The following is a 15,357-nucleotide window of genomic DNA, read 5'->3' as shown; positions in this document are numbered from 1 at the left end:
TTCTAAGTGCCAGCTGAATTGTCAGAGTCAGATTATTACACGGAATGAGCTGGAATGACAGATGATGGTGGTTGTAGAAAGAGATGCTGGGACTTGAGATCATGTTCAGAAGGTGCAGTATGTGTAATGACAAAGTCTAGGAAATAACCATGAGAGAGAATGGCTGAGGTCAGGTGGAAGCCCAGATTATTGGAGGAGGGGAGGTGAAGGAACTGCAAAGACCAAAATGACAGAAAGACCATCTATGTAGATTTGCCAGTCACTAAGAATTGAGAACAGAGTAGTGTCAGACAGAGCTAGAGAGTACCAGGAGCTAAACTCTTCGAAGAAGTAGGGGGAGAAACCCAAGGGTAAGTGCATGATTTCAGAGAGTAAGGGTGATGGATGGTTTTGTCTGCTGACATGAGTTTCAAAATTGGGATTATTAGGGAGGGAAAGGGGAGAATAGTCTAGAAGCAACAATGAGAAACAAGGAAAACATCTACTCAAACCTCTGGCTCAATGGTATGAGAGGAGTTACAAGAATTATTCCCATAATAACCTTTGTTATTTTACACTGTCCTCATTCATTCCACTCCAGACATACTGGCCCTGTTGTTCCTGTAACATAGTAAGCACATTCCTGCCTGCCTCAGGGCCTTTGCTCTTCCCTACGTCTGGAATAGTCTTCTCCCAAATATACACAAGACTCACCCATGCACATTCTTAAGGCCTGTGCATAAATGTAACCTTCTAATGAATGCCTTTCTTGGCTATTCCAAAATAGCAAATGCTCCACCACCAACACCCAAGCTCTTTCTATGCCATTCTTCTGCTTAATTTTTTACAGGGCATTTATCATCTTCTGACACACAATATATTTTACTTGCTTGTCTACTCCAACAAGCATTTAAGTGCCAGGAGGGCATGGACTTTGTTTTGTTCACTGCTGTATTTACTGTGGGTAAACAAGTTTCTGGCATAGAGCAATTGCTTGGTAAACACTGACTGAACGAATATGATATGGTTACATTAGCAATAAAGAGTACCTGCTATAATTTAAAAAGTAAAATTCCAGACCTAACTGGACATTTTTAAGGCATTACTTCCCTGATGACTCTGCATTATGCTTTGTTTATTTGAAAACTTGATTTGTCTATTTAAAAACAAAATAAATGATTGCAAATTTACTTCCTTCACAACATGAACACCTGTTTCCTGGTTACTACATAAAAGAAGACATTTAACCCTATTGAGTCTCCCTATCCAACCATTCATCCACTCACCATTTATCCTAGGTCTACTTTGTGCAAGGTCCTATGTTAGATCTGGGGATTCACAGAAGAATACAAGGTCCATGTCCTGAAGATGGTGTCAGGTTCCTGAATTCCTGAATTTGTGAGACCTGCACACCGGTCTTGGAACACTGAATTGGTCCACTGCACAACATCTCAGTGATGAACCTAAGTATCTCATTAGCATCTATAATCTCCTGTGTGACTAACAAATATTATTGAGGAAACCCTAACAACTGAAATTTGCAAATGACAGTTACCAGTGTTCCTCTTCAAGATGGACTACAGTCATAGGCGGTTCTCTCTATTCTAAATGTGTACAACCCAGTCTTTTCACAGTTTTAATTACTAATGTATCTTCTGGGGAAAGATTGGTACAAATAGAGTTAACAATGCCTCTTTGGAAACCTGTGTTTCTACATAAAGCAACTCTCAGACTGGAGAACAAAATGAATGAATTAAATAAGCATAGAACTTACTGTTCTCTTGCTGAAACCCAACAAAGCTTATCGTTCCCATCTTTTTTCAAAATGTTCATTAGTGCCTGTCTGGATGAATTTTCATAAATCGTTCCTAAGAAATTACATAAATATGGCCTCTCATCATGCAGCATTGACCAACTTGCCTCCACCACAGGAAAATTCCTGTATCTATAAAAATAAATACACATGAATTAACATATGATATAGAATTGGCAAAAATTCCCCATAACCCAATCTCTTAGGTAGCAAGAAGTATACAGAAGAGGTTTAAAATGTGATTTCTAAATCTCAAATTGTAATTTTCCATGAATACTTTGGAAAACTCCCTGAATCTACTGACTTAAAAAAATTGAATTTCACACTGACATCTCTTACAAAAGTGTTACAGAGATGTTGTGCCTAAAGTTATTTGTTTTTGACATTCTTTAACTTGCATTACTCATCTGCAGCTGTTAGGCATGTTACATTCAAAACCTTCAAAGTATAAAGACTCTTCTCTATTCATAATGATCACGATTTAAGCAACATTTTAACCAGGTGATGAAAAGATTACAGAATACTCCAGGGGAGGGAGATGGATGGGGAAAAGGAAGATGTTGATCGAAGGGTATGAAGTTTCAGTTGGACAGGAGGAATAAGCTTTAGTGATCTATCACACAGAATAGGGTGACTATAATAAATAATAATGCACTGTATATTTCAAAATTGCTAAAACAGCAGATGTTATGTTTTTACCACAAAAATTGTTAAGTATATAAGGTTACGGATTTGTTAGTCTGATTTAAGCATTCTACGTTGTAAATATATTTCAAAACATCATTTGTACCCCATTATCATATACCATTACTATTTGTCAATTAAAAAAAAGGAAAGATTATATATTTTGCTATTGCAAAGGGCTCTGAAAAATTAATCCCAAGGGCTTTTCAAGTAGATTAAAACAAACTGACAGATAAAACCATGGTATGCCATACAGGAAAAGTTACCTATTTTTATGAGCATTTGGAAATACCAGGGATTAAACTGTGTACCTGAAATGTAACTTTCACACGAGAACAAAATTTTACCTAACAGTTTGTATATAACAGGGTTTCTTAGCCTCAGCATTACTGACATTTTGGGTTAATTTTTTCTTGTGGAGGCTGTCCTATACATTGTGGGGTGTTCAGCTGTATCCCTGGGCTCTATCTGCTAGATACCAGTTGTGACAACCTCTTTCCTCCAGTTGTGACAATCAAAAACGTCTCCAGGCCAGGCACAGTGGCTCATGCCTATAATCTCAGCACTGTGGGAGTCCAAGGCAGGCAGATCACTTGAGGTCAGGAATTTGAGACCAGCCTGGCCAACATGGCGAAACCCCCTCTCTATAAAAAATACAAAATTAGCCAGGAGTGGTGATGCCCACCTGTAATCCCAGCTACTTGGGAGGCTGAGGCAGGAGAATGGCTAGAACCTGGGAGGCAGAGGTTGCAGAGAGCCAAGATCGTGCCACTGAACTCCAGCTGGGGTGACAGAGCAAGACTTCGTCTCAAAAAAAAAAAAAAAAAAAAGTCTCCAGACACTGCCAAATGCCTCCCGGTGGGCAAAATTGCCCCTGGTTGAGAACCACAGACCTATATAAGAAATATACTGGCCTAGTGCAACAACATCATGATTACCAAGAGGTTCCATCTTATACTATATGAAAACATTTTACAAATGCAGGCTCTGCTCAAAAAATAGATTTTTAAGAGGGTCTTAAACCTGGCTTTACTTAACAAGAACCTTTTTGTCTGGCCTTACCCCAAACCTACTGAGTTAGGGTGTTATAGGAGTAGGCTTGGGAATACATCTCATTACTGGCACAGATGTGCCAGTGACATCTGTGTCGCTAACTAGGCAGCAGTCTAAGGCCACATCCCGCAACCAGGGACAGAATGATGAATAATGAATGTATGATTCAAAAATCATGTCAGTGAGATTTTTCATAATTTATCCACTCAACAAATACAGAATACCTACTCTGCAGGTGCTGTTTTAGGCTCTGTGGATAGAACAGTGAACAAAAGAGACAAAAATCCCTGCTCTCAGGAGGTTTATATACTAGTGGCAACTTATCTTAAAGTCAACTTGCTCTTAATTAAAAACATCCTATTAACAGAAAGATAAAAATATATGTTTTCCATTTTATAGCTGGAGAAAGACTATATCTTTTTTTTTTTTTTTTTTTTTTTTTTTTTTGGTGAGACAGTCTCATCTCACTCTGTTGCCCAGGCTAGAGTGCAGTGGTACAATCTCAGCTCAATCTCCTGGGCTTAAGTGATCCTCCCACCTCAACCTCATGAGTAGCTAGGACTAGAGGCGCCATACAGGAGTCCATGTCACCATGCCCGGATAATTTTTGATTTTTTTTTTTTTTAGAGATAGGGTTTTGCCATGTTGCCCAGGATGCTCTTGAACTCCTGGACTCGAGCAATCTGCCTAGTTGGCCTCCCAAAGTGCTGGGATTACAGGCAGTAAGCCACTGCGCCTGGCCTAAAAGACTGTATCTTGAGAAACCTTAGCTATCATTTAATTAATCCCTCCTTTTATAGAAGAGATTTGTATAAATTCAGCCAGTCTCAAACACAATGGTACGGTATATTCCTGATATAATAATATTGCCTTTTTTTACTATATATAGATACTATCATTGTTTTTAAAAAAATCTATCTGCCATTTCTCTGCTAAATATATTTTTATGGCACTCCTAATAAGCTTGAAAAATCCATTCTATGCCTTGGGGTTTTAAAAGAAAAAAAGTAACTCATCTCCTCATTAAAGAATAAAATACTCTTAAAAACATCATAATTGTTATTGAAGGATGCGACCACACCCTGTTTTTATCTCTGAGAAAGACTGTACCTGGCCTCAATAATCCCAGAAGAACTAAATTTATTACAATTTTGAATAAGTCTTCCTGGTTCAGAAATTCAGGTGTTAGGGCCTAAAAATGTTTAATCATATTTTGTACTTACGTTGCTACTCCTAAAGGCCACTGAAAAACATCCACGTCATTAATCCAGGGGCTGTCATATATTATGAAAAGCAGCTCCACGAAGCCTCCATTTCTTTTGAGGAATGGGTTTATCCACTCATTATCACAATGTTCATTTCCGAGCAAAACAACAGCAAGATGCTGGAGTTTTTGAATTTGCACTAAATTTTGTGCATAAAGTAACCACTGGGTGGCATAAAAGATCTTTGCTTTTTCTCTTCCATTTAAAATGAGTACCACATTATTCACATCAACGGAGAAGTACCCTGGTATTACAGCTGGACCAGTGATGAAGCTGTTAAAAACAACACAACAAAAACAAGAGACAAACAAAGCCTGAACAAAGGTATGTGGTATCAGAAATTCATCATTTTATACAAAATCTACAATGAGATTTAATCCACATTCTATCTAGAAGTAAAATTTCTATAATACAATCTTTTGAACAAGTTTGAATGATGGGGCATAGCTGTAGATTAATGGTAAGCTTTGGCTGTAGGCAGATCAATTTGCATATGATAATACAAAATGTGATAGTTTTGTGTTTTTTTGTTTTTTTTTTGAGGCAGGGTCTCAACTCTTGTGGCCCAGGCTGGAGTGCAGTGGTGCAATCTTGGCTCACTGCAGCCTCAACTTCCCTGGCTCAGGTGATCCTCCCACCTCAGCCTCCCGAGTAGCTGGGACTACGGGTGTGCACCACTACACACAGGTAATTTTTCGTATTTTTTTGTAGAGATGGGGTTTCACCATGTTGCCCATGCTGGTCTTGAACTCCTTGGCTGAAGCAATCCACCTACCTCAGTCTCCCAAAGTACTGGGATTACAGGCATGAACCACCATGCCTGACCTTTTTTTCTGTTGTTGTTTTAACCACACTGAAAATAAATGCTGGCTAGAATTTAAACTCTTAAGCAAAGAAATATAATTGAATAGCATGGAACTCTGTAAAATAATGGTTTAGTTCAAACCAGAAAGGCATTTAAAGTCAGTAGTTCTCAACCCTTTTATGGTGTGAGCTGCTATTACACTCTTCATCTGACTCAATGGATGAGAAAGTGCTGACAAATTAAGAAACGAAGAATGGCATTATAAACATTCCATGAATGTTATATCTCAAAAATATAATGTTAAAAAAAGCAAGGATTAGGACACTCACAAAATATACATAAACTTGAAAGTACAGTCATAAAAATTATTTACACATATATATTTAGGATCAGTATAAATATAAAAATTTGAATGGGAGGATCCACATCAAATTTATGATAGCAATTGTATCTGAGGAGGAAGGAAGATGAAAGGGACTAGAAAACAGTACAAAGGGAGCTTTACCCTTATTGAAAGTATTTAATTTTTTTAACAGGAAAATTAAATATCTGAAGCAAATATGACAGAGAGCTGAAATTTGTTAGTTTTGAATGGTGAGTAAATGGGAATGTGTTGTATTACCATTTTTTTTTTTTTTGAGACAGAGTCTCAGTCTGTTGCTCAGGCTGGAGTGCTGTGGCATGATCTCAGCTCACAGCAGCCTCTGCCTCCTGGGTTCAAGCAATTCTTGTGCCTCAGCTCCTGAGTAGCTGGGACTGCAGGTGCGTGCCACCATGCCCAACTAATTTTTGTATTTTTAGTAGAGACAGGGTTTTTGCCATGTTGGCCAGGCTGGTCTTGAACTCCTGACCTCAAGTGATTCACCTGCCTTGGCCTTCCAACGTGCTGGGATTACAGGTATGAGCCACTGTGCTCAGCCTACTCTCTTTTTAACTGTATTTTTAAAAAGTTTTCATTAAAGGAATAGACATGTATCATAACTCATTTTTTTCATATTAAGTGCTGCCTAGAACAACCAGTACCATTGAAATATTTTCACTAGTATGTATTAAATAGAACAAGTACCATTTAATTCATCTTAAAATTAGTCACTCTTATCCTAGATTCTTTACAACTTGCTTAAACCATTTCTTTATATCCTGATAGAATCTAATTTTCAGCACAAATATACCCAAAGCCTACTTTCATTGCTTCTTACTGCTGGGGATAAAAACATTTGTTCAACGCCTTTTATATACATGATACATAAGCACTTTGCATGGGTCATCATTAACCCCCCCAACAACTCTGAGGAGTTCATTATTCTCTCATTGGCATTTGTGAAATTGCACTTTAGCTGTCAGCTTGTAATGGCAATGACGAGTTCTCAACAAAGTTCTGTCTCACTTCAGAGCTTAAGTTTTTCCATAACTCCATGGTTAACAAATACTAAACAGATATTAGTTAAAGCACAAAACGTAAAAATATATTTTACTATGTGTGCATGTACCATATGATTTATATGACATTATTCTAAAATTATATAACATACAGGGACCAGGACTATGTTTTGAGGACTATGTTTGCCTTGGACAGTATCTAGCACTGGCAATGACTAATGATTCAGTGATAACCTAGTAATTTAAGACAATATGCAGAATCTGAGGGGCTAGAAAAACTAGCAATGATGATGATAATTATGGTATGTTTAAAATATTTATTATTGGTAGCATACGAATACTTTGTATTTCTCTTTTAGAAATATAAGCAGGTATAATTCTTAAGAGCATGAGAAAGTCTTCCAGTCCTCCTTCCCCATGTTAGGCCAATTTTATGAAGGAAAAAAAAGGAAATCTTGAGAGAGGTTCTATGACTTGCATAAAGCTAGCTGACACTAGATAGGAAATGGTACAGATCAGACTCAAATTTGGTTATTTGACATTAAGTCCATATATATCATGTGCCCAAACAATTTCAGAGTGCCATACAGCTGGGTGTGGTGGCTCATGCCTGTAATCCCAGCACTTTAGTTGACTGAGGTAGGCGGATCGCTTGAGTCCAGGAGTTCGAGACCAGCCTACACAATATGGTGAAAACCCATCTCTACAAAAAATACAAAAATTAGCTGGGCATGGTGGTGCAGCTACTCAGCAGGCTGAGGCAGGAGGATCACTTGAGCCCAGGAAGTCAAGGCTGCAGTGAGCTGAGATCACGCCACTGCACTTCAGCCTGGGTAACAATGAAACGTTGTCTCAAAAAAAAAAAAAAAAAAAAAAGAAAAGAAAAGAAAAACAAAGTAGGTTTTAGTCAATGTATTAAAATAAAATATATGAAGCTATTCTCAAATGTAACTTTCATGTGAAAGGAATATCTTTCTAATTTTAGTGATCCACACAAATTAACAAAATGAAGTATGATTCATTCAAGGGCACATTTATACTGTCTTGGTCTTGGATGTCCACAACTCCCTGTGTTTTGGTAATGGTGAAAGCCATGGGGTCAATACTGCGAAGCCAAGGTGTAGGTCAGAGATTCTTAGCACCTTTAGTGTTCCTGTAAATTTTTCAGTGTCTCCCAAGCTAAAAGAAATGCTTAACAGTTCAATTTTTAAAGTCATTAGGTCTAAACAACCTAATAAGTATCTATGTCCTAACAGCTTAAAAGTGACTTAAAAAAATACACAGACACTGAAAGAAAAACTCATATTCCTATTTCATTCTTAACTAATCACAAATATTTAATAGCATGTGTGCACCTGTTGAGCACTATAGAACTTCTCAAACCTTGGAATCAGTGGACACTGTCAGTGTCATTTCCTGTTCCACACTCATTTTTGTGCAGTGCGTGCATTTTATCACGGCAACCATGGAAAACCCAGCTTCACAAAGTCCTGATATTGTTCAAATAAATGCAGGGTAATCTAATGTTGAAACTGTACTGCTTTGAACTTGCAGTTTGCATAGGGCCTGAAAGATATCAAGTATCAGTGTTTCCCATAAATATTTAAAATATTTGGTGATGTCCCACAGTGCCTCCGTCAAGGAACCACAGATCTAAAAGAAGAAACTTTAAGGGCCCAAAAAATTTCATTTGATTCAGATACCTGGGTTGTATGTATGTATGTACATATGTGTGTTGGAAAGTTTGTTAGTCAAACTGCAATGGGTTGAGAAGTAAGGAAGTGATTACAGTGAGTATAGACAAGGATTCTGAAAGTTTTGAAGAGAAGGTGATAAAGCAATAATGAATGAAGTGGAGAATAAAGGAAAGCAAGGAAGTAATGCATGGAACAAGGTCCTAGAAGCAGGTGGGATGCACAGGTGGTGGGCTTTAACCTTGAGCCAGGAAAGATCACTCAATGTTTGAGAGCTTGGAAAGAGATAAGGATGGGTGAGGGACCAGACAGAGAGTAGGTACATGTTACAGCAGCTAGTTAAGAGAGATAATTATGATGTCCTCAATTTTCCTGATGAAAGAGGAGGCAGGGTTGTCTGCTGAGAAAGAGGAGATAGGTAGATGTTGGGTGGTGGGCTAGAGAAGAGTGGACAGATTTGCTATTTCTGTATTTTCTATTTTTGTGTCACATTAGCTACCTACTCATGCAAACTAGAAACTAGGGACTTCTCAGATTTGTTTCCCTCTCTCATCTTCCCATCTAATTAATCCCTAAATTCCGACCATTTTGCTCCTAAATATTTCTCAAATTTGTCCCTGGCTCTGACCCACTACCACTTCCCTATTTCATCCATTAGTTTTATCTCTGTGGGATACTTCCAATCTCCTACTTGGTCTGCCTGCACCCAGCTGTCTCCTTCAAATCACTTTCCCCCATGGCTGCTAAAGAAATCTACACACATAAACACATGACAATACCACTATCCTGCTTAATCATCCTCAATTGCTTTTCACTACCCTAGAATAAAGTCCAAGAGCCTTAATGTGGTACATACAAGGCCCACCATGATCTGGCCCTTGCTCAATCCTCCCCATCTCAGCTACCTTACCTTTTCTTCATGCTCTAGGAATATTGATTGGTTTGCAATTCCATGCATAAACCCAAGTTTATCACTTATGAACCTCTGATGTCACTTCTGCTGGGAATATAATCTTTTTTCTGCCTTGCTAACTTCTACTCATTTTAAAGACTGCTCAGCTATCACCTCCTTTAGAAAACATTTGTTGATAGGCCCCACACCCCTAACTCTACTTAGATTGAGTTAATTGCCTTTCTTCTGTATTTCCATAACAATAAACATGGTAGAGTATGCATATTCTTATCATTATGCTTTCTATATGGTATGAAAATAATTTATGAGGCTGGGCATGGTGGCTCACGCCTGTAATCCCAGCACTTTGGGAGGCTGAGGCAGGTGGATCACCTGAGGTCAGGAGTTCGAGACCAGCCTGGCCAACATGGTGAAACCCCATTTCTACTAAAAATACAAAAATTAGCTGGGCATGGTGGCAGGTGCCTGTAATCCCAGCTACTTGGGAGGCTGAGGCAGGAGAATTGCTTGAACCTAGGAGGTGGAGGTTGCAGTGAGCCAAGATCGTGCCACTGCTCTCCAGCCTGGATGACAGAGCAAGACTCTGTCACAAAAAAAAAAAAAAAAAAGAAAAAGAAAAAGAAATATAATTTTCTTTAGGCCCTAAATTCTTCTAATAGTTGGCTTTTTTATTTTCTCAATTTCTTCTTTTTTTTATCGACAGGACTATTGCAGTAGGCTTTTTTCCTAATGAATGGTCAACATTAAAGTCTTATTGGGATTGCACTTTCTTTATTTTTAAATTTTTATCCAGTGATTCTGGGGATTTTTATGAGGTTTTCTTGGTTGTTTTTTATGTATTTATTTGCATATAACAAACAATTTAATTCTTTGTTCCAAAATAATTCATCATATTCAAATGATGTGCTCCTTTTACTTTTGTTTCTTAAAATCAAAACGTTTAAGACTACTAAACATTTTACTCCTTGCTCTGAAGATGAGGCCTAATTTAAGAGATGAATAATCAGCTGATGACTGATTCAATGAATGGCATTTATCTCTTTATTTGTCTTTGGGTATTTATATGGATGCTAACATTTGTGGGTGAAAGGGAGATACTGTGGGACCTTGTAATCATATTGAAAAACAGGTTATCTACATGGTCCCAGAGAATCTCCTAGTAAATATCACAATGGAAAAAAACAGTAACTTTACAGTGAACAAACTAGGCAGACTGCACCTTAGCCAAGTGATCAAAGTTAACATAATCAGTAACGGGAACAAATATGACACACTGAGGATGACACGATGTTGTTTCTGAGGTATTCGGAACCAAAATACATAACCTGAACTGAACTGTAAGGAAACATCAGACAAACCCAAACTAAAGGACGTTCTACAAAATACATGGGCAGTACTCTTCATAAGTCACAAGGTCAACAAAGACTGAGAAACTGTCACAGACTGGCTGAAGCCAAAGAGATATGAAACCAAGCACACCGTGTGATTCTGGATTGGAAACTGGGCCAGAAAATGGACAGTAGTGGGAATGTGTGTATCTGTAAATTAGATAACAGTTTTGTATCAATGTTATTTTCCTGAAAAAAATAATTATACGGTAATTATGTAAGATGTTAGCATTTGAGGAATCTGGATGAAAGGTGTAATGGATTTTTTTGGTACCATTTTTGCAATATTTTTGTTAAGTCTAAAATTATTTCAAAAAGAACAAGTTAAAAAATTAAAATATTAAAAAACAATAATTTCCCATAATTTTACAGGAAATAATTTGGGTATATTTAAATATTAGCAGTTTAAATGGCTATAGATTAAAGTTCATAGAGATAAATGCTCAAATAGAGGAGAAATGAGTCTGGTATTATATTTAATATTGGGTTCAATTATTATACATTTTGAAGACACAGCCTATAAATTCACCTCTCATTAAGGAAAGGTGTTATAAACACAGAAATAGCCCAACTTTTATATTTTAATACTTTTTTTTTTTTTTTTTTGAGACAGGGTCTTGCTCTGTCACCGGCTGGAGTGCAGTGGTGTGATCTAGGCTCACTGCAGCCTTGACCTCGCAGGCTCAGGTGATCCTCCCTAGTAGCTGGGACTACAGGTTTGTGCTGCCACGCACAAAGTTTTTCTGTTTTTTGTAGAGACAGGGTTTCACCATATTTCCTAGGCTGGTCTTGAATTCCTGGGCTGAAGCAATCCTCCTACTTCAGCCTCCCAAACTGCTGGGATTCCAGGTGTGAGCCACTATGCCTGGCCCTTCTTCTTCTTCTTCTTCTTCTTCTTTTTTTTTGACACAGGGTCTCACTGTCGCCCAGGCAGGAATGCAGTCACGTGATCACAGCTCACTTGCAGCCTTGACCTCCCAGGCTCAAGCTATCCTTCCACCTCAGCCCCGCAAGTACCTGGGACGACAGGTGCTAATTTTTGTGTTTTTTGTAGAGATACAGTTTCGCCATGCTGCCTAGGCTGGTCTCAAACTCCTGAGCTCAAAACGATCTGCCTGCTTTGGCCTCCCAAAGTGCTGGGATTACAGGCGGGAGCTACCATGCCCAGCCTATATTTTGATATTTTAAAAATAAATTATTAGTCTCCTCTGCAGCTTGTTCTGTCACCCATACATTAACATACCAAAATACATATATTTCTTACTTCCCAGGTGAGGTTATCATAAGATCTTGCTTTCACATATTTTGCTGACAAATTAGATATTTATTTATTCTGCTACAATGAAAACTATGGAACGGCCCTCTGTTTTATTTTTAATTTTTTTTTTAAATGAAAAATCATGGGGTTTCACTATGTTGCCCAGGCTGACCTCAAACTCCTAGGCTCAAGTGATCCTGCTGCCTTGGCCTCCCAAAGTGCTGGGATTATGGGAGTGAGCCACCATGCCCGGTCAAAAGGCCCTTTAGGAATAAGATATTACTTTTGTTGCTCCAAGCAGTACATAAATTAATAACTTTACAAATAAATCCACTACCCCCTTCAGCTATTAGTTTGTCTGAGTTTGCAAGGAGACACTAATGCCCATTTCCGTAGACTAGGAAGGAGGAAAGGAGAAATTAAACATTAGGAGGTGCTCAACAATTATTTGGTAGAAATGAATTAATGGATCTCTCAATTTATTTAATATTTTAATTTTTGAAGAATTATAAATACATTTTCCAAAGCTAGGGAGCAATGATATTTTGGTGGTCAAAGTTTTAAGCAATGTGACTGACAACTTAGTAAGAAACTGAGAACAAGAACTGTGGAGAAACCATTTCCTTGGGTAATGAACAGACCACAGTGGACTATAATAGAGATCTGAGTGTCCTACAACAGCTACACATCAATAGAGAGAGGAAATGGGAGTAAGGGCTAGACCTCCAACTGTGAATAGACTACCTTATGATGGGGCATTTTGAAATTCATGCCAGGTGGATTTAGCTGGCCCCAGAGAATCCTACTGGAGTGTACCAGTAACACGAAAAGTTATCACTTAAAGGCTACAAGATGGCAACCTCCTTTCTCTTATATTATACATAACCCTCCAAGCAAGGATCTCTTTGCTCGGTAGTTGAGGCCTACTTTAAGAGATGAGTCATCAGCCGATGGCTGATTCAAGCAACGGCATTTCTCTTATTAAGTAGGCTTCAGTATTGTAAGAAGTTGTTTACTTGATGTTCTAATTTTTATGTATCCCAAAGTTCTTTTTAGGTAAGGGCGATTAACCTAAAAAAATTATTCAGTGTTCATTCAGACTATGATCCATTCTATGACAAATTGTGTTCTGAAGAGAAAATAATATAATACTATCCTATGTGAATCAAATTTATCTTTTCAAAGACAGCTAAGTTTTTATTCCTTTTGGTCATAAATATTTGTTTTTCACCCCACTTCTCTCCATTTCTACTACTATTTAGGCAGCTTACCTGTAGCTAAAGGCAATTTTAGTTTCCTAAGTATATAAAATCTCCTAAATGTATCACCAAGAGATGAATTTCTATTGTAGAAATATTATATATTAATTTAGGGGAGAAAAAGTTTTCTTTTTTATTTGCTTCTATTATAATTTCATGCATCAGGTATGCTTTTATTGCAGCACTTCACTCTTTTTTTCATAATTATGAGTATAGCAGAAGGGGGGCTATTAATTTAGTTTGTGTAAGCAAAAGCATCAGAGAACCCTTCAAGTGTATACATGCACTGTGCACCCTGTGCCTAAAATTCACTAAGTAGTAAACATAACCCTGAAAAATCACACGATTAAAAAAATTAAAAACATTAAAAGATAATCAAGAATTGGGCACATTAGATGTGCAAAAGTTAAATCATAGTTAACAGAGATTATGGCAAAATTGTAATTAAATTACTATAAAGAGGATATTAAAATCTAAAAACATTTAAAAGTCAAGATGAGGTTATAACTGGGTTGTAGCAGATTAGGAAAAAAAGTCTAGACCCAAAGCATAGATAAGAATTTCTAAAAATGACCCCATTTAAGAATTCAGAATGATGCTGGGCCAGTGTTGCATACCTATATTCCCAGCTACTCAGAAGGCTGGGGCAGGAGGATCTCTTGAGCCCAGGAGTTAGAGGCTGTAGTATGCTATGATCTTGTCTGTGAACAGTCACCACACTCCAGTCTGGGCAACATAGCAAGACCCCCATCTCTTAAAAAGAATTCAACATGAAATTATAGAATTGAATATACTTAATATTGGAGGTGACTTGTAGATGATGTGGACTAATCTATCATGTTAAAGGGAGGACCATGGTTCAATCCCATCTTTACTAGTCATTTAATCTCTCAGAACATCAAGGTTTTCATTGCAAAATGGGAGTAATACCACCAGCTGCACAGGGTGGTTCTGAGGATTAAAATTCACTGAGCTAATATCTGTAAAAGCCCCTGGAACACAGCAACCACTTCATATGTTGCTGTTGACTCAGGATTCTTTCCATTTTAAAATAAGACAATAAGACCCCAGATGGCTGGGAAATCTCATAGCACGCCAGCAGCAGAGCTGGGACAAGACTGCGGGCCTCAGTGTTTACTCTGCCAGGCTGGAAGCCCATCTCACCCACAGCTGGATGCCTTCTAAGCAGCCTGAATGCTCATTAATCTTTGAAGAGGCATAAGAGCCAAGAGCTGGCAATTTCTCATTTCTTTATGTTGACTACATGGGCTTGGGTGAGACATCGGCTGAACAGGAGTGATGAGAGAGAAAGAGTTTCAGCAGCTGTCTTCTGTCAAACCAAAAATATATCAAAATAGTGCATTTTTAAAACAAGGTTTCTAATATTACACTGGATAAGGTGTGAACTCAGAGTTGCTACTCTAGGACACTGCTTAGCTCATCAGTTCTTAGATTTCAAGATTCCATTTACTACAAAAAACTGAAAATGATCTTTAGGGACCAATACAGAATCACCAACTTCTTAAGACATTAAAAATAAAAATCCCCTGACTGCCTCTTACTCAAAATAGTCCCTTAGTCAAGAGTGTAGTGCTTGACTTTTGGCTTTACCCACTAATTAGAAGTATGTAACCTTAGGCCAGGTACTTAGCCTTTCAGTGCTCAAACGAGGTAAGCACAGTACCTGCCTCATGGATGCTTGTGAGCACTGAGAATAGTGTCTCACACATAGTAAGAGCTATGTAAATGTTAGATGTTATTTGTTATAATTACTAGTTTGCAGTTGTGGGGAAGTTATTTAATCTCTTTTGTCTTAGTTTCCTAACTTGCAAAATGTAAACAATGATACTTCATAGGGTTGTGGTA

At 37.8% G+C, this 15,357-nt stretch overlaps 1 protein-coding gene across 4 annotated transcripts in view; it reads right to left on the bottom strand.

Annotated features, from left to right (window-relative positions):
- RXYLT1 (ribitol xylosyltransferase 1) overlaps positions 1 to 15,357 on the bottom strand; it is a 29,654-nt gene that overhangs the window by 2,405 nt on the left and 11,892 nt on the right. For 3 of the 4 annotated variants that reach the window (NM_001278237.2, NM_014254.3, XM_047428078.1), the window contains 2 exons: positions 4,753 to 5,067; positions 1,754 to 1,924 (listed from right to left, as the gene is read on the bottom strand). In NM_001278237.2, coding sequence (NP_001265166.1) covers positions 1,754 to 1,887 — 134 coding nt within the window. In that variant the 5' untranslated portion in view covers positions 1,888 to 1,924; positions 4,753 to 5,067. Of the gene's footprint in view, positions 1 to 1,753; positions 1,925 to 4,752; positions 5,068 to 15,357 lie in introns of those variants that run through there. The other variant, XM_047428079.1, reaches the window with a different exon arrangement.

The sequence above is a fragment of the Homo sapiens genome, chromosome 12 (genome assembly GCF_000001405.40).
Source record: "Homo sapiens chromosome 12, GRCh38.p14 Primary Assembly".
NCBI lineage: Eukaryota > Metazoa > Chordata > Mammalia > Primates > Hominidae > Homo > Homo sapiens.
Note: the sequence above shows the minus strand (reverse complement) of the source record. Positions and strands in the feature narration are given on the sequence as shown.